This window comes from Homo sapiens, chromosome 17, assembly GCF_000001405.40.
Source record: "Homo sapiens chromosome 17, GRCh38.p14 Primary Assembly".
NCBI classification, from domain to species: Eukaryota; Metazoa; Chordata; class Mammalia; order Primates; family Hominidae; genus Homo; species Homo sapiens.
In genome coordinates, this window is record NC_000017.11 from 29,820,535 (window position 1) to 29,843,628 (window position 23,094).

The window sequence follows — 23,094 nt, forward strand, 5'->3', positions numbered from 1 at the left end:
AAATACAATACTACTTCTGGTGTTGGTAATGCATACACACTGACAGCATACCCCATGTCTAAACTCTTATGCTATCTACAGTAAAAACTCCCTTCTAGAAAGTATTCCCCAGCTTCCTTTCATTCCTCATCATCTGTTTACAGAATAAAGCAAATTTAAACAAAACATGCACACTGAATTTCTGATACAAAGAGTGCTGCCCTGGAGACCACCTCAACCAGAGGCCATGAATGTAGACTTTAGATTTTTAATTCTAAAGAAGTCTACTAGAAAACTAGCTAGAAATAAAAATTCCAATACATATGCAGTGCAGATTCGATTAAATTCAGCCCCTTGTCACCTCTCTCTTCCCAGGGGTACTTGGACTATGCAGAAATTTCTGCCTCTTCTACTTGGGGGAATCAACCGTAAGAACTCCAGACACTTTCATTTCTCTCATATGCCCTCTAAAAGCATCTGAAGAGTCCATGAATTCCAAACCATATCAAGTTATTCTTAGCACTGCATCCCAGGGAAATATCTCAGTCAAAAACATATTTTGTTTTGACCCCCTTTCATCAAAGACTTGGCTCCTGCTTTTCAGGAAGAAAAATAATGCAAAATTCAAAGTCTCTGATCTTCAACTGGGTATAAGCCCTCCTTTCCTAAAGTCCTGTTCTTTCTTCTCGCCTTTATCTTCTTCCTTGTATTATAAATTACATGCATTCACATCTTATTTATTTATCTATCTATTTATTTGTTTATGAGGGGGGTCTCACTCTGTTGCCCAGGCTGGAGTGCAGTGGTGCAATCATAGCTCACTGGAGCTTTGAACTCCTGGGCTCCTCCTGCCTCTGCCTCCCAAGTAGCTGGGACTCCAGGCATATGCCATCACACCCAGCTCCATATTTACTAAGAGTAAAGCACTTAATGGGTACTCAACAAATATTTATTGAACAAGCGAGTTATTGGAGCAAATAAATTATGAAAAAAAAAAATTCTAAGTAAGGAAAGGGAAAAATCAGTAAGGACTTAAAAATGATGAAAAACCATGGAGTAGGAAAACTTCTGATACAGTATACAGCTTTTAAGGAATAAAAATCCAACCAATCAACTAACCTGATAACCAAGTCTATTTTTTTTTTTTTTTGAGGTGGAGTCTCGCTCTGTTGCCAGGCTGGAGTGCAGCGGCGCGATCTCGGCTCACTGCAACCTCTGCCCCCGGGTTCAAGTGATTCTCCTGCCTCAGCCTCCTGAGTAGCTGGGGCTACAGGCACACGCCATCACGCCCAGCTAATCTTTTTGTATTTTTAGTAGAGACGGGGTTTCACTATGTTGGCCAGGCTGGTCTCGATCTCTTGCTCTCGTAGTCTGCCCGCCTCGGCCTCCCAAGGTGCTGGGATTACAGGCCCGAGCTGCCAAACCAAGTCTATTTTAAGAATCAAAAGAATATCTATAAACCTTGGAATTCATGGTCATAAGAAACTGGAAACATGAGCTAAACAGTAACCTGGGTCAAATTTGTAGCTAAGTAAGGGCAAAGGCCACACTTAATATGATCACAGATGGAACCAGATTCATCAGTGTCTTATCATTCAATGCATTTGTCCTGTGAATTCAAAGATGCTGCTACCTCTGTGTACACAAGCCCATCCCCTTCAGCATCTCCAGTGATAAGTGACTTACCAGGTCACCTGAGACTGGCATTTAGTAAATGAGTACTGCACTTCCTTGGCTTCATTAAGTTAAGCAAATTTTAAGATATGAAAAGATATTTCTAGATATGAGAATCTACTGTTAAAATGATGTCATATAATCATTGAAAAAAACTTCGTATGAGCCAGGGACCCTTTTTTTTTTCTTTCTGAGATGAGGTCGCACTCCGTCACCTAGGCTGGGGTACAGTGGCACAATCATAGCTCTCTGCTGCCTCGAATTCCTGGACTCAAGGTATCCCCCTGCCTCAGCCTCCCAAGTAGCTGGGACTACAGGCGTGTATCACTACGCCTGGCTCATTTTTAAATTTTTTGTAGAGACGGAATCTTGCCATGTTTCCCAGGCTGGTCTTGAACTCCTGGGCTCAAGTGATCCTCCCACCTCAGCCTCCCAAAGTGCTGGGAATACAGATGTGAGCCACCTCATCCAGCTGAGCCAGGGACTCTTAAACTTTCCTTTCTTCTGGTCCTAGTTTCCTCCAATTCCTATTTCCACAAAAGCAACTTTAACGGACAGTACTCTTGGCTTTCCTGGCTCTAGTTCTACGCAAATATCACGATGGGAGCTAAGACTGACCATATTTATCACTAATAAGGTAGGGATAATCTTCACTACCTAATCACATCTGCAAAGTGAATTCACTGTACTGTGCTGTGGTGTCAGTATTAGTGGTGAACTGAAAATTTTGTTTACAAAACTCAAAGAGTTTGGGAGGGATAGCAGTGTGCCTGATATTTTTTCCTCAAAATACAATTTTTATCAGATTGCATTTGAAACCTAAAAAGAGTACCAGAGAACAGTTGTGAAAAAATAAACTTCTTTAGTTCTATTCCACTGAAAATTAAAATAAAAAACATCTATATAGATGAAAGGCAGTATAGATTATAATTAGTAAAATATATACATTATAGAAAATAAACTGACTTTCTGTGATGGCAAAGTTGCTTTAATCAGAGATGTCTTTGAGGAGTTTCATGTAATATATTCAAATAAATAATAGTTTCATATTTTTTAAAAACATATGAGGCATTGGAAATATTAATTTTGTGACAGTTTACAAAATGAAATACAGGTACATTTTGGGTACATATGATTACAAACTTATAGAAGAATTTCCAGAACAGTATAAAGCAGGTATTTTCTTCACCCACCTCAGGCTTTGACCCTTGCACTGGGCTAATGTTCCTCTGTGTGGATGATGCCTTCCTTACATTCCTCCAGCTCTAACACCCCACATTGGGCCACCCTCTAATCCCTTCTCTCTGCAGTAACTCCCTCACCCTGCTTAGGCTCTAACATCGAACTCCAGGGTACCTCCCCCATGCGGATGCCCTCCTAACCCACTTGGGCACCAATATTCCACACTGGGGTCGGGTGCGGTCTCATGCCTGTAATCCCAGCACTTTGGGAGGCCAAGGTGGGCAGATCACTTTGAGGTTAGCGGTTCCAGACCAGCCTGGCCAACATGGCGAAACCCCATTGCTACTAAAAATACAAAAATTAGCTGAGTGTGGTGACGCGTTCCTGTAATCCCAGCTACTCGGGAGGCTGAAGTAGGAGAATTGCTTGAACCCAGGAGCCAGAGGTTGCAGTGAACCGAGATCATGCCATTGCACTCCAGCCTGGACAACAGAGTGAGACTCTGTCTCAAAAAAAAAAAAAAAAAAAAAATTCCACACTGGGCCTTGCTGCCCACTCAAAGACATCTATTTTGTTTAATCCCATCTAAAGGCTTTTATACTGAATTGCTACAGAAGAAAGGTGTTTTATTTTTTAGTGCTTAAATTACAAATACAAATAAAGACAACTGAGCTTCAACTATGTACAAGGCACTGTTCTAGGTCTAGTGGAACTATATAGCCCTCTAAGAGCTTCTTTCATGACTGAGGAACCCACAACATCTCTACTTACTAGTCATGATATTTTTCAGTCACAAGTGGTAAAAACAAAAACAAAAACAAAACTACCTGAACATGCCTTAAATAAGGAAAACTATCATCTTACATAACAAAAGGACCACAGTTGGTTACTTCAGTGGCTGAACTTTATCAAAGATGCAGTTTCCCTATCTTTGTGCTATGCCATCCTGATTGTGTCAGCATTGCTCTCAGGCTAATATGGCATCACGATGACTGCCACAGTCAAGGTTCATCACATACATCCCCAACAGGCCCTGAGAAAAACAGACCCTCCCCTGTGTCTTTTTAAGTGCAAGGAAAATTGTCCCAGAAGCCTCCCAGACTCCCAAGCTTCCCCTCTCATTTCACTGCCCTGAAGTGGATCACATGCTCATGCCTAAGCCAACCTCTGGCAAGGGGATGGCACCCTCTGACTGGCTGGGTCTAATCAGGATTCATGGGATAGGGCTTGGTCAGTTTCCCTTGAGGTATTCGGCTACCTGGAGGAAATGGATACCTACCAACCTGAACAAAACCGAGTTTTTAGGAATGGCAGTAGAGAATGGATATAGGGTATTCAACCTGCTGTGTCTGCTACAGACAACTGTGCCTGTAGCATAGCTGTACACTTTACAACTTTGAATTTATATGTAATGAACATTTGTTGTTTTTGCCTGCCCCATCAATTCCTCTTCTGATAATAACTTATTTTCTTGCAGGGAACCATCCTTTTGTATTCTCCAGCTAGAACTACTGAAGAAAAAGATATCTTTCCATTAGGGTGGCTTAGCTGATAAAATGTACAACTAGAGTTATAGATGGCTGTTTTTTTCATTGCCTTATAGGGAGGGCCTGTACAAAAATGAAACCAACATAGAAAAAAGCAGAGGTATGTGGTGAAGAGAGATTACCTCGATGAAATAATTTGATGCCCTGAATCCAGTCATACCTTAAATTTATCCCTTACACTTCCCAGTTACATGAACCAACAAATCTTTATTTTCCTACGGACAGTTTCTATTACTCTCAATCAATAGTCCTGACAAATACATTATATACCACATTTTCCTATGTGCACAATCAAGGAGAAGTAGGAGAGGAAGAGAAATGTTTATTTCCTTTTAGAGGCAGAGAAATTAAAGTACCCAAAGGTTAAATGACAGGTTAGTATGTTCTGCCCATGAGAATATGCTATCCTTCATGTAAGCTGGAGAATCCAATACAAAGATTATAATAATTATACAAATATTTAGCAAAATATTCCATAAAATTTCAGTAAAAAAATTTAATACATTGCCTTTGAAGTCCAGGATTGCAGAAGTGGGAGAAAAGATGACATGTTTTATGTGGCATGAACAAATGGCATTGCCCGTAATACTCTAACATGGCTTAAAGAGGATGTTCATGCCCACAGAGCTCACTGCTGTCTGTAGTATATACTTACTTTGAAGACTAGAGGGACCTTCCTTGATGGTTATCTGACAAGGGCTGTTAATTTCAAGGCCTCAATACTGATACTACATGGCTGCAAATCAGGCTTTTGTTTAATCTGTCCTTGAAACATTTCTCTATTTTCAGATAGCAAGGCCTGGTCGGAAGACGCCATCATTGTCCTGCCCACATAAGAGGAATTGTTATGGGCAAGGCTAGAGTGCTTACATAGTGTCTGAGTTTTAAACACCTGTCATTATAGACTTTGTCCTGCCACATGATACGAAACAAGGCAAACTATAATTTGGTCAGAGGTCACAGCCCTAAAAGCAGGTTTAGTTCCTGTATGGTAAACCAGGAAATACTGCTGCTTACCTCTGGCCTACTCTTAATTCTGAACAAGAATAGCTACATATATTAAATATTTTAATAACCTAATTCTGTAGACATTCATGTTTTTAGATGTTATATTAAGATATTTTTTCACCTGAAGTGTTTAGAAAAATTTAATATAGAACAATGTATTCCATACAGGTATTAGTCAGAGGGGCTGCAAAAACACAAAGCATCAAAATCTTAGTGACTGAAAACAACAGTTTCTCATTTATGTTACATGTCCATCCTAGGTTGGTGGATATTCTGTTCCATGTTGTTCTCTCTCATCTTGACTGGTCACTGTGACAGGGAAAATGGAATATAATGAATTATGCAACAGCTCTTAAGACTTAAAAGCTTCCACCTAGAAGTGACAAAAACCACTTATATTTTGTTTGCCGAAACAGTCACATGACCATGTCAGTTCCCAAGGAAACATAATCCTACCAGTATGGAGAAGGAGAACCAAAAATATTGACAAATGCAAACGATGACTACAATCATAGATAAGGATATTGTATTATACAAGATGCTTTCAGTTGCAAGCAATCTGACTCAAGAGAAACAAAAAACATAGTAGTTTATTTAACTGGTAAATTCAACAGGGATTCAGAAATGCATTGATGTTATTAGGTCTTTATTTTCCACTCTTTCTCTTTGACTTTGCTTTCTTCTTATTCTTAGGTAGACTGTCTCTGTGTGGTGGTAAGATGACCACCTACCACACTAAGCATATATCATCCTTTTAATCAGAGTCCAGAAAAAAATTAACCCTTTTTACCTCCAGAGAGACCTATATCCATCTCTCAAAATGACAGTGGCCCTGCTTGGGTCATGTGCCACCATAATATCCAGGGAAGAGGAGTGCTTTGATTGACCAGCCTGACATGGGTCTATGGACATATGACCATCCAGTGGTAGAAAAGCAAGGCCGAGTGATTCTCAGCCCTACCAGAATCAGATGGAGTAAAGTAGACACAGTTCCCAAAAGGAAAAGATGAAGACTATACCAAAAGGTAGCAGCTACCTACCAAGAGAGCTCGACTTTTTCATTTCCTTCATCATTCCCCTCAACTCTGATGACATGTATGAGACTAAATTCCATAAATATAAACCTATGTAGTCTTGGTGTCATACTACAAATTGTTGCTGATGTTAAGCCAGGTCAATTGTAAAAATACACACTAGGGAACACATATGGGTAAATGCTGGGACAAAACTTCTTTAACTTATTTTGCATAAGGCACTTCTGAGTACAAATCCAAGCAAGTTACAAGGAAATTCCCTCTTGCAGAATGAACTGCTAACAAATTATTCTTGAGATGCTTATATAAATGATAAAATGGCAACATGATTACCAGGCTTCTTACTAGTAAAAGGCTCAAAGAAGATAAATGACTTCCCAGTCACAGACAGCATATAGTAGTGCTAGGATTTAAATCCCAGTTTGATTGTTTCCTTGGCAGGGGCAGAGGGTGAAATGGTAACAGGCATCAGATTACTAACTTCAGAAGGACAGCAATTTTTGTTTTTGTATCTCAAGCAACTAGAACAGTGCTTGGAACATACTAAGTTAGTGATAAAGAAGCCCAAGAATTAAGCTCCTTTTCCTATTTTAAGTAATAGTCAACAGCAATAAAAATAAATTTGGTTTTCTCACTTTGTCATTCTTCTAAAACTTGGCTAAACACATTTCCACAGGAATAAAATGCTTGGTTTCCAGGAAGTTCCAGGTAATATGCATTATGACTTGGCATATCCCTCAGTATAGCTTTTTGAAGCTGGAAAGGACAAACACAAAACAATGAAGAAATAATTTAGGGAAAAAATAAATAGAATGAATGAGTACAGAAAAAAAAAAAACCCCAGCATAGCTACAATATCTGTAATGTGAATGTTTTTCTAAATCAATATAAGCCTTAGGTTTTAGTAGTAATGCTATCTAATACATTTCTTAACCATTTTAAAGAGGATAATTACATATGATAGAACCTCTGCTTACCTTCCTGCCATAGCTGGGTTAAGCTGTATTTCTAGCCAATTCCTAACACTCTCCTAATTACTAGAACAATTTAGCTGATGCTTTTGGTTCTTCACTTAGAGAACTAAGTAACAGAAAAGGCAGCCATGGAGGTAGAGCCATCATGTTAGACTAGATAAAGGATAAGATACAAAACTCACCTGTATTTACAAAAACAGAATTATTGATCATCTGTGAACCCTGCCATCACAGGAAGTCTTTAACAAATTCAGTAAGTGATCTTGATTGCAATGAACTCTCATTGACTACACAAGAAACTTTTAATTTTTCCTTTCGTAGCACTTGGCAGCAAAACCCCCTTAAGAATCCTGCTCTTTTATCTTCTTAAGCTACACAACAAATTTAAATACAAAGTAAAGACTTTCTCAGCAGGGTCTGAATCTACTGTGAACTTTTAGAATAGATTCCCAACCACTCAAAACTCCCTAGGACTCCTACAGAAAGATGGCATGCTTTAACCCCTCTTCCTAGTTCCACAAAAATGGATCAAAAGCAGAAATGTGTGTTTTAGAGAAAAGGCTAAAGACAGTGAGAATCCCTGGAAGCAAGTGATTTGCCAAACTTTAAAGCAGAAGAGAATACACATTTTCTGGGTACCAATTCCTTAGAAAATATTAAATCAGAAGATCCCAGTTTCCAGGCCTAGAATTACATATTGCTGAATGAAATAAATCAATGGTATTTAAATCCTTTGTGAAGCTAGAACAATCTATTTTGGTAAAGCAGTTTTTGGGGAGACATTATTAACATTTCAAATACTATCAACAATTAACCTTGATCAACCTGAAGCTTTGTTCAGCAGTATAATTACAGACGTTACCTAGTATTGTGGGAAACAAAGACACACAGACATTTCCAAGCAACTAACTACATTCTGTCATTTCCTGCAAGTGACAGAACCTTTTCATTGGTGTTTGTGAAAAGCCAGCTTCAAAGCAAAACCCCAGTGGCGTTAAAGTAAGCAACCCTTCTGCTTCCATTTCCATCTCCAAATGACATTTGTAAAATTAAACCATATACATGTTTCTGTACCATTTGAGACTAGAGTCCTAAAGTCCATTAGTGTAGGCTAGACAAGTCCACATGTGACCCATGAATGGAGTGCTATTCCATGAGCCACAAAAAGTGGGTGGATCTCAGAGGGACATCTGAACCTTTCATGAGATTGTTAGACTGTAATAGTGGCTGTTTATTAAAGGCTAACAATGTGCCAGGCCTTAGTCGAAGTGCTCTGCAACCATTATCTCATTTAATCTTCACACTAATCCTCCCTCCAAGGTAGGTATACTATTTATCATTTCCATTCCTTGGATGAAGAAATTAAGACAGAAGAAAAGTAACTTAACTAGGGTCATATACATTCCTTACCACCACACCATAACACCATACTACTATTCTGCCAACTTCCCTTTTATTAAGAGCTCCATTCCCTGACAAGTGAGTTAACCAAACTAAATCACAGGGATATGAAGCCCCAACTGTCGATGGCTTGTGTGTGTGTGTGTGTGTGTCTGTACATATATATATGGAGAGAGGAGAGAGGGAAGAAGGGAGCCTGGGTTCTTCCTTCGCTGCTGTATTCACATTTCCTTGCCTGACCTCTTTCTTCAGGGTATGACTTTAGCTTCCATTTATTGTGTATACGTTACCTATCACTCATTTATTCTTCTTTTAACCAATATGTACAGAGTACCTCCTATGTGCTAGACATTGTACTGATTGCTGGGGAAATAGTTGTGCTCATATAGAAGCCCATTCTCCATAGCAAAGACAGGCAAATATTTTTAAAAAATCTCAACCTGGTCACTCCCCAGCTGAAAACTCTTCAGTGGCTTTTTGTTGTCCAAGAAATAAAGATCAAGATTTTTTTTTTTTTTTTTTTTGAGACAGAGTCTCGCTCTATCGCCCAGGCTGGAGTGCAGTGGTGCAATCTCGGTTCACTGCAAGCTCCGCCTCCTAGGTTCATGCCATTCTCCTGCCTCAGCCTCCCGAGTAGCTGGGACTACAGGTGCCCGCCACCTCACCTGGCTAATTTTTTGTATTTTTAGTAGAGATGGGGTTTCACTGTGTTAGCCAGGATGGTCTTGATCTCCTGACCTGGTGACCCTTCCGCCTCGGCCTCCCAAAGTGCTGGGATTAGAGGTGTGAGCCACCGCACCTAGCCAAGATCAAGATTTTTGACTTAGTTTATAAGGCTGCAGCATCTGGCCTTTTGCTGACTTTATCAGCACCAGCTTGAGTTATTTTCTCCCTTATTTTCTTTGTTCCAGCCTTACTGACCTTCTGTCAGTTCCTTGAATGTGCCAGTTTCCTGATCTGTAAGTTTTTAATTCGTGTCTTCCCCACCTAACTTTTCCCTGGTTGACTTCAACTCATCATTAGAGTACAACTCAAAATACCATTTCCCCAAGAAAGCTTTCCCTTGACCATGAACCTTAACATCACTTTTTCCCCCAAGCCAGGTTAGGTCCCTGATTGCTATATTCTCATAGTATTGTATACTTTCCGATTTGCAGAATTGATCATAATTTAAAATTTCACTGCATAATTAGCTGTTTAATCCCACCTTTCTCCACTAGAGTATAAGTTTCAAAGGGAAGAATCATGTTTATGGTTTATCACATGCACCACCATATCCTCAGCAACCACTGCAGTGTCTAGCACATAGGAGGTACTCAGCACATATTGGTTAAAAGAATAAATGAGTGAAAGGTAATAATATACATAAGAAATGGGAGCTAAGGACATGCCCTTAAGACATAGGGGTCAGGCAAGAAAGAGTAAATACAGTCAGTGAAGGAGTACCCAGGCCAGTTCTGCTCTCCTCTTGGTATTATGCCTGGTATAGCTGCTCCAGTCTGAGCCAGTTTAATTAGTTCAAGATAGAGATGTAGAACCAGACTAGTGGAAACCACAAATGGGAAAGGAAATGAAGCAGTAGTGCTTTAATGCATGACAATGAGAGATGGAGGCTGATCATAAGTCCTGGGCATAACTTTGCATAGTAGAATTTAAATTATTACTACACAGCAACATTACATTTGATTAACGTGCCAGTGGATTTTAATTTTTACTTGTTATATGGAGCTCATAACAGGATAAGCCATAAATTCTGGGTGCCAGAATTGTTTGATATAGTCGTGGCTGCTTTGCAGCTCACCTTTAAGGCATCTAGCAGACCCGGGTGAGGGTCTGCTACTGTTAAAGAAATTTGAGAAGGAAAAAAGCAGTTACATGTAGAAAGAAACCTCCCCCAAAGGACATTGAACACGTCTGCAGACATAACCTATACGCTACTCAGTTCCAAGGCTCTTCACAGTAGCCTGCAGAGATTCAGACTTAAATTGAGGAGGGGAAAGGTAAAAGGATGTGTGTGATAAAAACCTCTTTCTCTCCTGTATTAACTTAGGGCAAATACAGTATTTCCTATATTTTCATCTTTAAGATTACAAATAAGAGACGCTAATCTAGATGTAAGACTCCAAAGAATCCCAGCTTATTTTTAAGTCTAAAGTGAATTTTAAAAATTTTCACTGTAAGATACCAATAAAACAACTTTGACACTTCTTGCCATCTCACTACCAGAATGCAACTGTTTATCTTTTTTTTTTTTTTTTTTTAAGATGGAGTCTTGCTCTTGTTGCTCAAGTGCAATGGTGCGATTTCGGCTCACTGCAACCTCTGCCTCCTGGGTTCAAGTGATTCTTCTGCTTCAGCCTCCTGAATAGCTGGGATTACAGGCATGTGCCACCACGCCCAGCTAAGTTTTTTTTTTTTGTATTTGTGGTAGAGACGGGGTTTCGCCATGTTGGCGAGGCTGTCTCCAACTCCTGGCCTCAGGTGATCTACCAGCCTCGGCCTCCCAAAGTGCTGAGATTACAGGTGTAAGCCACTGTGCTCAGCTGCAACTGTTTATACTTAAGGCCTCTTGTGTGTTTTCATTCTTCTTTTGTTATTTATTTATATATAGTTTTTATGTAGTTGTAATCAGAGCGTATATGTAAGTTTTGCTCATTTTTCAAATTTGGCAAGGAATGGACTATTCTCTTCTTGTGCCGCAACTGTACCTATTATACACATTTTCTCTATTACTGTACTTACCACACTGTATTTCAATCATTTTACTTATAAATCTGTCTTTCTAGGCTTTGAGCATTTGAGGATAAAAGCTATCTTCTGTTTTTTTTGACATGGGGTCTCGCTCTGTTGCCCAGGTGAGGGTGCAGTGGTGCTATCACAGCTCATTGCAGCCTTGAATTCCTGGACTCAAGGGATCCTCCCACCTTAGCCTCCTGAGTAGCTGGAATCACCATACCCAGCTAATTTTTTAAATTTCTGGTAGAGATGGAGTCTCCCTATGCTGCTTAGGCTGATCTTGAAGTCCTGCACCCAAGTGATCCTCCTGCCTTGGCCTCCCAAAGTGCTGGGATTATAGGCGTGAGCCTGGCCCTGTTTTTCCTTTAAGTAATGTTTGAATAAATGAATGATGGCTATAAAATTTTGTTCTACCCATTTGTTTCAAGAAATTTTAAAATTTCTTTCTTAACTGCTTCATTGACCTGCTGGTCATTCAGGAGCATACTGTTTAATTTCCATGTATTTATATAGTTTCCACAGGTCCTCTTGTTACTGATTTCTAGTTTTATTCCATTGTGGTCAGAGAAGATACTTGATTTCAATTTTTTTTGGTTTTCCAGTTTTTTCTTTTCTTTTTTTGAGACAGTCTTACCCTACTGCCCAGGCTGGAGTACAGTGGCATGATCTCAGCTCACTGCAACTTCCCCCAGGTTCAAGCGATCCTTGTGCCTCAGCCTCCCGAGCAGCTGGGATCACAGGTGTGCACCACCACACCCAGATAATTTTTGTGTTTTTAGTAGAGACAGAGTTTTACCATGTTGGCCAGGCTGGTCTTGAACTCCTGGCCTCAGGTGATCCACCTGCCTCGGCCTCCCAAAGTGCTGGGATTACAGGTGTAAGCCACAGAGCCCAGCCATTTTTTTCTTTTACTTTGTTAAGACTGGTTTTGTGGTCTAACATATGGTCTGTTCTTGAGAATGCTCCATATGCTGAGAAAAAATGTGTATTCTGTAGCCATTGGAAGAAATGTTCTGTAAATATCTATTAGTTCCATTTGGTCTATAGTGCAGATTAGGTCTGCTGTTTCTTTGATTTTCTGTCTGGATGATCTTTCCAATATTGAAAGTGGAATGATGAAGTATCCAACTATTATTGTATTGGGGTTCATCTCTCTCTTTCACTCTAATAATATTTGCTTTATATATCTGAGTGCTCCAATGTTGGGTGCATATATATTTACAATTGTTATATCCTCTTGCTGAATTAATTCCTTTATCATTATATAATAGTCCTCTTTGTCTCTATAGTTTTTGTCTTGAAATCTATTTTATCTGATATAAGTATAGCTACCCTTGCTCTTTTTTGGTTTCCATTGGCATGGAATATCTTTTTCCATTCCTTTATCTTTAGTCTATATGTGTCTTTATAGGTGAAGTGTGTTTCTTATAGGCAACAGATCATTAGATCTTGTTTTTTCTCTATTTGGTTATTCTATGTCTTTTGATTGCAGAGTTTAGTCCATTTACATTCAATGTTAATATTGATAAGTAAGGACTTACTGTTGTCATTTTGTTATTTGTTTTCTGTTTTTTTTTCCTTCCTTCCTTCCTTCCTTCCTTCTTTCCTTCCTCCCTCCCTCCCTTCCTTCCCTCCCTCTCTTTCCCTCCTTCCCTCCCTCCCTACTTCCCTCCCTTCCTTCTTTCCTCCCTCCCTTTCTCCTTCCCTCCCTCCCTCCCTTTCTCCTTCCCTCCCTCCCTCTCTCCCTCCCTTCCTTCCTTCCCTCCCTCCCTTTCTCCTTCCCTCCCTCCCTCCCTTTCTCCTTCCCTCCCTCCCTCTCTCCCTCCCTTCCTTCCTTCCCTCCCTCCCTGCCTCCTTCCCTCCCTCCCTCCCTGCCTCCTTCCCTTCCTACCCTCCCTTTTTTGAAAGTTATTTTCTTTGATGTTATGTTTTAATGTCTTGCTTTATGTTTTTTGTGTATCTATTGTAGGTTTTTTGCTTTGAGGTTACCCATGAAGGTTGCAAATAATATCTTGTAACCCGTTATTTTAAACTGATGACAAATTAACTTGATATAATATTTTTTAAATATCAGAAACACAATAGAAAAATACACAAAAGAAGTTAAATGACTTTCACAGAAGAAAAAGATATACAAATGGCTCCTCAACATTTGAAAAAAATATTCAATAGTTCTCATATCTAATACATTGTTTTTACCTCTCAAACAGGCAAAGATAAAAATAAGTCTGATATCACATTGAATTGGCAGGTAACAAAGAAATGATGAATGCTTGACGTGATTGAAACCCCATTTACCCTGGTGTGATTATTACACATTGTATGCCAGTATCAAAATACCTCATTTATCCCATAAATATATATACCTACTATGTATACATAAATATTAAAAATCTAAAAATATTATAGAACACATTATGTATTATAGAAAATAGCTCTTTGTCATGTGTTGAAAGTCTTTTTCCCAACCTGTGGTTTTGACTTTGTTTATAAGATCTTTTAATGTAGATTTTTTGACTTTATGTACTTGAATTTAGCAATGTTTTCTTTTATTGTTTCTGGGTTTTGTGTCATAAAAAGATCCTCCCTACTCTAAGATTATAAAAAAATTCTCCTACATGATCTTCCTTGTGGTGTCAAATTTTTTACACTTAATTCTCAGATCCATCTATATTTTGTCACAGAGTGAGGTAGAGAGGCAACTTAATTTTTTTCCATTCATTTAATATTAATTATACAATTTCTCATGGAACTATATAGTTTTAATTAAGTTTTTCACTTTAATGGCTTCACTATATTACCATAGTTTACTTAACCATTCCCTCCTCTCATTACTAAAATATTCATTAAAATTTTAGTACATATCCTTTTTAAAAAATATAATTTCCTCAGAGGAAATATTCAAGAGTTAGATTTCTGGGTCAAAGCATTTGATCATTATTATAACTCTTGACTAAAATGTCAGATTGCCAGGATCAAGTCAATCTATAATCTTTACAACCAATCATCAGGTAAGATGCATATATGACTATGGTATATGAAACCTTTCCAAACAGAAATTCCCACTAGGCATTATTCAAATCTAAGCAGGTTTATAATCCAGAATCAGAAAAACTGCATCACACTTCTACAGAATCTGACTAGCCTAAGAACTGCTGTTATTTCTTTGGGGCAAAAAGAATAAGTGGACAGATTCTTTTGGAGCAAAGGGCATTTCAGAAGAACTCTGTTGGAAAACCCTAAAACAAAAACAACAACAAAAAAAACTTAGCCAAAACGGCATTGCACTGGACTCAGAAGAAGACCATAGCATTCAAATTCAAGGTTGTATTTCATTGTTCACATTGGTCCTTTCCCTTCCCAAGAACAGTTTCCCTTTCACCCACATTCTTTCCAGATACCTTAAGGATCTAACCATCATCTGACACTTCGTAGTCAGGTTCCTCCATGAGCAGTCTTCTGCTCAGCTCCTGGACCAGGCCCTGCAAATTCAGTTCAAGTAAGACCAGGAAGTAAGATGTTGATCCAAAGTGGAATTTCCAGCCCCAGCTCATGCATGATAGGAGGGCACTTCCTCATGCAAATGCACCTAGTGCAGCTAGAGCAGATTTTCAGCTTCTTTGGAGCTGTGTCTCTCTCTATAATTTATTGAAATTCATATACTGTTTATAGCCCTTTCTTCTCTTTCCCTTGTCCCTGCTGCCTCCTGGGCTCTCCTTAAAGAAACATTTTACCCTATCTCTACTAAAAATACAAAAAAATTAGCTAGGCGTGGTGGTGGGCGACTGTAGTCACAGGAGAATGGCGTGAACCCAGGAGGCGGGGCTTGCAGTGAGCTGAGATCACGCCACTGCACTCCAGCCTGGGCGATAGAGCAAGACTTCGTCTCAAAAAAAAAAAAAAAAAGGAAGCATTTTAGGAGACAGGTTTCTTTTGAAAGAATTATTATTATTAATAATTTTATTATTTATAAATTTTATAATGCCTCTTCTGAAAATTTGGTACAGTGTCATGGTATGAATGCTTATATGACCAGAGATGTGAGTCACAACCCTGGGGTGGATTCCAAGTACATATCTGACAGGCAAAATGGCATGGTGAGCATAGCCTTGGAAATCAGACTTGAACTTTATCACTTAATAGATGTGTGATCCTAAGCAAATCCCTTAAATATATCACCACGTTAGAGAGGCCCTTCTTGAACATCCTTTATCTAAATGATAAATCTTATCATCGTTTTTCCATTTGAATTTTTCATAACATTATCATATTCTGTAATTGAATATTTATGTTTTTTATTGTGTCTTCCCCGATGGACTGTAAATTCCATAAGGGCAGAGTTTGCTTTGTTCATCACTGAATACCCATTGCCTAGTGCTCTGTGCCTGCCACAGAGTAGACTTAAATAATTGTGGAATAAATAAGCTCAGTTTTCTCAAAACTCAGAAAACAAGAATATCTCTTCTAGAACAGGGATAAATACTACTGACATCAGAAATGTAATGTGAAATAACGTACGTACTAACATTTGTTTTTACTAACCAGGCACATGGTAGTGCTCAAGAAATGTTAGCCATCTTTTCAGTTATTTGTGGTTTTAACAGCAAGTCATGGCCTTTGTAACTCTACTTTTCTAATTATAAAGTGAGAGGAAAAATTACTACCGCTTTTCTACTGCCAAAGCACACTGTTGAGATTACAGAAAATATACAAAAGGCATTAGGAGTGACTCAGCAGACAGGATCCACTGAGATTAAGAATTTGTTAAATTTACAACTCTCATGACATTTGTCTTAACCGGGGTCATCCATTGCTCTCTACAAGGTTAACACTTCTTGCCTAATAGCTTTGAAATTACAGCTTCACCAGGACTTTACATTCAGCACTAAGAAAATAGACATCTTAGGCTGGGCGTGGTGGCTCATGCCTATAATCTCAGCACTTTGGGAGGCCGAGGAGGGCGGATCACTTGAGGTCAGGAGTTCAAGACCAGCCTGGCCAACATAGTGAAACCCATTCTCTACTAAAAATACAAAAATTAGCCAGGTGTGGTGGCAAGCACCTGTAGTCCCAGCTACTTGGGAGGCTGAGGCAGGAGAATCACTTGAACCTGGGAGGCAGAGGTTGCAGTGAGCCAAGATCATGCCACTGCACTCCAGCCTAGGTGACGCAACAGAGTGAGACTCTGTCTCAAAAAAAAAAAAAAAGTAAGAAAATAGACATCTTAGATAGCAAACTAGGGTTGAGAAAGATTGTGCTTGAGTACAATAGTGGCAGCACTCTAGAAATTCACGGAAAGAAAGGAAAAAATTAATCTGGCTATAAAACACCCCAGTAATATCCAATTTCCAGTGATAGATACCATCTTACTGGTGGCAGCAGTGGGCTATCCATTGTAGCTGCCAGCTGTAGTGGGGAGGCATGGGTGGTGGCAGCAGGAGCAGCTATGGGAGCAGCAGTGGTGGCGGTGGGACCCCTGTGGCCCATGTCCCCGAGGCAGCCAACTGCACCACCCCCACCCTCGCACGGCTGGTCAGGACCCACTCTCCCAGGCCCAGAGCCTCTGCTGTGGCCTCAATCTTGCTCCCTGCCACATCCCAGGAGCCTGTGAGAACCCAGCCAAAGACACAGCCAAGACTTGCAGGGCTGGTCCCAGGAGCATCAGGTTTGTTTGCACAGGGTTGGCTGGGGCCACTGTGCCACCTGCATCTTGCCCGCTGCCACTGTGAGGGAAACGCAAAGAGGAGGCATGGCCAGGGCTGCGCACTCCATGGAGCTGGGGGGAGCTGGGGAAAAGCAGAAGCCCTGCCCCTTGCAAGCTGGCAGGGTGGGAGCTCCCCAGGCACAACTGCAGCTGCACAAGCTCTGGCTGCAACCTGGGCACCCCTGTGCTCTTGGGAGCCTGGAGCAGGCGGGAGCCCTGCCCTCCCAGGCATAGCTGCAGCTGCCCAAACCTCGGCTGCAGACCCAGGCATCTCTATACTTTTGAGGGCCCAGGAAGGTCCCTCCTTCCCCAGCAGGCTTGGAAGTGCCTACTCTCACTGTCTGGCTTCTCCTGGCTGTTGGTGCCCACTCTGATCATGGAGCAAAGCTGAAGCTGAGCCTGGGCACTGGTGCAACCCAGCCACGTGTATGCATGCTCAAGGCAGCACTGACATGCCAGCCCCCTGGCACCCTGGTCCCCTCCACACACTGGGTTTGGTCACTGACAAGCATGAGATGGAGGCTGAGGGGGCAGGCCAAGGGCAGCTTGGTGTTGGCCTGCAGGTGCCCCTTGGCATGAACAGCCTGGGCACCATGAATGGAAGCAGGAAGCAGGCAGACTCCTAGGCAGACAATGGTCAGTCCCTGGTGAAGTCCCACCTGCAAGCCACGAAGGACCTGAAGCATGGAGGCCAGGCTGCTGGTCCCGCAGACTGCAGTGGGAATTTGTAGTGCTTTTTCTGGGCTGCCCACGTCCACTCATGAACCAACTGGCATGCACTTCCTTCCCTCTGAGGCCCATGAAAAGCCCCGGACTCAGCCAGACCAGAAGAGAGGACGGGATGATCTGCCTGTAGAGAGGAGTTACCCTCTCTGTTGGAGCTGAACACTCATCGGGATGACCTGCCTAGCAGAGAGGGGCCACCCTCTCTGCTGAGAGCTGAACAACACCCTGGCTATGGAGAGGAGCTACCCACTGTGGGTCTCCTCTGAGCTGTTCTATCGCTCAATAAAGCATCTCTTCACCTTGCACACCCTCCACTTGTCTGCATACCTCACTCTTCCTGGACACAGGACAAGAATTCGGGACCTGCCGAATGGCGGGGCTAAAAGAGCTGTAACACAAACAGGGCTGAAACGTGCCCTTTGCTCACCATGTTGCAGGCGACAATAGGGAAAGAAGACAATAAGGAGAGAAGAGCTGTGGCCCTTTGGGGAACCCAGACCTAGGAGCTCAATGAGCCAGGGTTGTGACACCCTCTTTAGGGATCTGTGGTTCCTGGCATCTCTAAGCTTCCAGGAGCCATCACGTTCCCCAGTGTCAGCCGTGGAAGCTGGCTGCTTATGGTATGCCAGGCTTCCATCACCATGGCAACAGGGGCTGATGTCATACCAAGCCAAAAGATCAGGCTCTGCCTCTCCCATTGCAGCCAGTGTGCCTGGCTGTGCACAGTGGCTGGACCCTTGCTTACACACCCCTCGCCACCCCATGCCTGGCTCGCCCTTGGCAGGTATGGGATCCAGGCCGGTAATGTGTAACCTGCCAGGCCGAGTGGGTGGAATGAGCCCAGCAGGCCAGAGCAAAAGTTGGGCAAAGGCGCCATTGGCCACAGAGGTTTCTGGCTGGCAAAGCAACACCCCAAGGATGCTGTAACATTACCTCCTGAAATAGGAAACTTGATTATTAAGCTAACTCTTCCTTCCCTGTACTTCCAATAACAGTGTATCTTTACAATATTCCAAATTCAGTCTTCAGATGCCCCCAAATCTGTAATCTTATAATTCCCCACTAGTGAATTTCTGAGAATTGTGATTTTCAACTCTGGCACACAATCACCTATGGACCTTTGTGAAGAAGAAATATGTCAGGTCTCATTTAAGACCTACTGAACAAGAAACTTCCTAAAGTGAGACTTAAGTTTCTATATTTTTAAAATAAACTCTATAGATTATTCTTGTATAAAACTAGAGTTGAGAATCACTACTGCATTTGACCCTGACCTCCTAGCACCAGAATAACAACATTACATTCAAGGGCAAAGGCAATCCAGCATAAGTTAAAGAGCACCGGCTGGGAGTGTCAGGCAGACTTAGCTGTCACTACCAGCATGGTCACATACCTTAAGCAAGCCTGGTTCCTCACCTTTAAACAGGGACTACTAAAAGTATTTGCCTCAAAGACTTGGATTCAACACTAAACTGTATAAAAAGCATTTAGTACAATGGGTGTCACATGGTAAGTACTCATAGTAAGGGGTCCTTCCCCTCACCCCACCCTTTCCAAAGGGTAAATTTTTCCCAAGCTATAATCTTAAAAATCTGAGAAAACCTACAACTCCTCCTGTTTTGCTTGCTCTCCCAAACCAAAATAAGAGGAAAATATACCTCAGCAGGACCTGCCTCAGATTATGGAAGCAAGATAACTCAACTAGTTGGAGCTTTTATTTGGTTAATTTTGCAAATTTGGCCGAGGCTCCTTGTTTCTGCCTACAAATTGTTTCACTGCCACTTTCTGCATTCTTTGAAACATGCCAGATGTTTCAAAAATACAACTCTGGTAAAAAGAGGGATCAGGAGCCTAGACCAATACAAATCCAGCACAGGAGAGCATGGTGTGTCTGAAGTATCATTTTAGATTCCTTTAGCCAAGGCATCAACTATGTGCAATTTACAATTAAATCACTGTGCTAAGAGCTATTGATAATATAAAGATGTCTAAGAGAATATTTTTGGCCTTTCAATAGCCATTTCATGTACTTAAATAATATATTTTAGAAGTTGTCACAAGTTAGCCAAGCCACAAGCCAAATTAGGGATGGTGAAGAAAATGGAAGATGGTCAGGATGCCCACTTTTTCTTCTTCTTTTTCTCCAGAGCTGAAGTATGAACTTCATTATGTCTGCAGACAACAGTGGCACTGCCTTGACTCTGTTGAAGAGCTGGTGACATGAGGGAATCCTGCATCTGCCCTGCTCTCTACTTGGCACAGATAATGCGCCAGGCCCTCTAAGCACTTTACATAAGTTATCTCATTTAATTCTAACAACTCCATGGGATAGGTACTATTATTATTCCCATTTTATAGATAGGGGAAATGAGGCTTAGAGTGAAGTCACAGTCAGTAAGTGGTGAAGCTGGGCTCTGACCCAGATTGTCTGAACCTTCAACTTGAGCTCTTTAACTACTACATGATGCTGAGCCCTCTCTCTGATTCTGAAAGTCTGAGAGAGCCCTCTAAAAAGCATAGCCTGATAGCCACATCAAAATCACATGGTCAAGAAGTCAGGAAAGTGGTTATTCCTGGTGTATGATGGCTGGGAGGGTGAGTCAGTAGTGACTGAAAGGAGCAAGGAGGGATTGGCAAAGGGGGAAATAGTACTGAGGAGTTGTAATATTCCATTTCCTGATCTAGGTACAGGTTACTTACTTCATGATTGACCTGTGTTTGTGAAAACATCAGTTTGTGAAAATTCATTGTTATACATAAAAGCACAAGATAAGTACACTTTTCTGTATGTATATTTTACTTCAGTAAAAGTATAAAACACAAAGTATAAAGTGATCTTTAATTATTTTTTCTTTACTCTAGCTCCCTAGCAATGTTGACACAGGAAGAATAAGTCTTTATACCCTTTATACCTTATGGAAAAGACATGGAAAACTTTACCCTTCACTGACTTAAATTTATACTAGATTTGGATTATCTCATTTCAGTATCTTGCTTTTAACAGAAGACTAGCCAAGGAATTTCACTGAATAGAAAGAATGTAAGTTAATTGTGTTGTACCTGAGTAATCAAATGCATACAGCCAACTCTTAAAAAATTGTAGTCTATCTCACATTTTATCCTGCTGCTCAAGGAATAGATGTTACAATGTTACAAATGTTGCAGATTAGATTTCTAATATGGAGGTGCAAAAATTAGCATAGCTAGAGTTAAACCAGTGTTCTTTTTCTGTTTTTTCTTTTCTTGAGACAGGGTCTCATTCTGTCACCCAGGCTGGAGTGCAGTGGCATAGTCCTGGCTCACTACAGCCTCAACCTTCTGGGCTCAAGTGATCGTCCCATCTCTGCTTCCCGAGTAGCTGGGACTATAGGAGTACACCACCCCCTTGGCTAATTTTTTTTTTTTTTTTTTTTTTGTAGAGACAGAGTTTTGCTTTGTTGCCCAGGCTGGTCTTGAATTCCTGAGCTTAAGCGATCCTCCCGCCTCAGCCTCCCAAAGTGCTGGGATTACAGGTGTGCACCACTGTCCCCAGCCCAAACCAGTGTTCTTAACCCTTGATTCATATTAGAATAATCCTGGAAGCATTTAAAAAAATACCAATACCTGGGCCCTACTCACAGAGATCCTGATTTAACTGGAGGAGACCCTGTTATTAATTTAAAAGATCATCACAGCCAGGCGCAGTGGCTCATGCCTATAACCCCAGCACTCTGGGAGGCCGAGGCAGGTGGGTCACCTGAGGTCAGGAGTTCAAGACCAGCCTGGCTAACATGACGAAACCCTGTCTCTACTAAAAATACAAAAATTAGCTGAGTGTCATGGCAGGCACCTATAATCCCAGATACTTGGGAGGCTGAGGCAGGAGCATCTCTTGAACCTGGGAGGCGCAGGTTGCAGTGAGCCGAGATCACGCCACTGCACTCCAGCCTGGGCGACAGAGTGAGACTCAGTGTCAAAAAAAAAAAAAAAAAAGATCATCAGGTGATTCTAATGGGCAGCCACAATGAGAACCACTGAGTTAAATAAGGCTAATTTCAAAAATAGCCTTTGTACCCAAGATTACTACAAATCTTATTTCTCCTCAAATGTCACTCAAGAGCGTAAGATTTTTAAAAGAAAATTATTTCTCATAATAATTATTCTGGGATAAAATCATTGAGCTATGCTTTCTTACATCTTAACCTGGAACAAAATAAGTTTAACATCACATTCCTATTAGTGTAAATTTGCATCAGACCCCTTCCAAAGTAAAAAATAAGGATATTGTTCATGGTAAAACTATGTTTGCCACTAGCAACACTTTTTTTATCTTTTTTCTGACGATGGGCCCTAACAATCTCTCTACAATGCAGCAGAGGTGATGCAGAAACAATTCAAGTAATCCTAAACTCCTGTGGGGCAGCTGTTTGCTATTGGCCAACTGGCCATTTGAAACTCATAATAAAACTCATCTTCTTAGCACCAAATTTCCCTTTTTCCCCCCTTTTTCTATTTGTGTATGTTGGCTACTGAAAGGTGTTCTGCAAATGAGTCTGAAAAAATAAACAGAAAATACACATGGTACAGATAGCAGAAACGAAGAGAGTAAATACAAATTATCAGGAATGACAGGACGTGCTTGCTGTAGGCTTAAACACCATCCCCACCTTCCAGCTAACCAGTTTGTTGTTGTATCTGGATGTTCATCCACTACTATCTTGTTTTTGCTTATAATCTCTAGAGATTTACAAAAGTAGATTTAATTACTATAGCAGGCTGGGCGCGGTGGCTCACACTTGTAATTCCAACACTTTGGGAGGCTGAGGTGGGCAGATCACTTAAGGTCAGGAGTTCGAGACCAGCCTGGCCAATATGGCGAAACCCCATCTCCACTACAAATAAAAAATAATTGTTAAAAATAAAAAAAATTAGCCAGGCATGGGTGGTGCATGCCTGTAGTCCCAGCTACTCAAGAGACTGAGGCATGAGAATCGCTTGAATCCAGGAGGTAGAGGCTGCAGTGAACTGAGATCGTGCCACTGCACTCCAGCCTGGGTGACAGAGGGAGACTCAGTCTCAAGAAAAAAAAAAAAAAATTACTATAGCAGTTTCCCCCTCCTAAGTGTAGTTTTCCTTTCTGAGCTAACCAT

The 23,094-nt window shown here is 41.0% G+C and overlaps 1 protein-coding gene and 1 long non-coding RNA gene across 10 annotated transcripts in view; both read right to left on the reverse strand.

Moving 5' to 3' along the window:
* SSH2 (slingshot protein phosphatase 2) overlaps positions 1 to 23,094 on the reverse strand; it is a 304,291-nt gene that overhangs the window by 194,597 nt on the left and 86,600 nt on the right. The gene's annotated exons all lie outside the window — the stretch shown is intronic.
* On the reverse strand, positions 2,624 to 15,269 carry LOC124900390 (uncharacterized). The gene is made up of 2 exons (XR_007065694.1): positions 14,937 to 15,269; positions 2,624 to 7,180 (listed from the first exon to the last, which is right to left on the reverse strand). It is a non-coding gene; the product is annotated as an uncharacterized LOC124900390 (long non-coding RNA).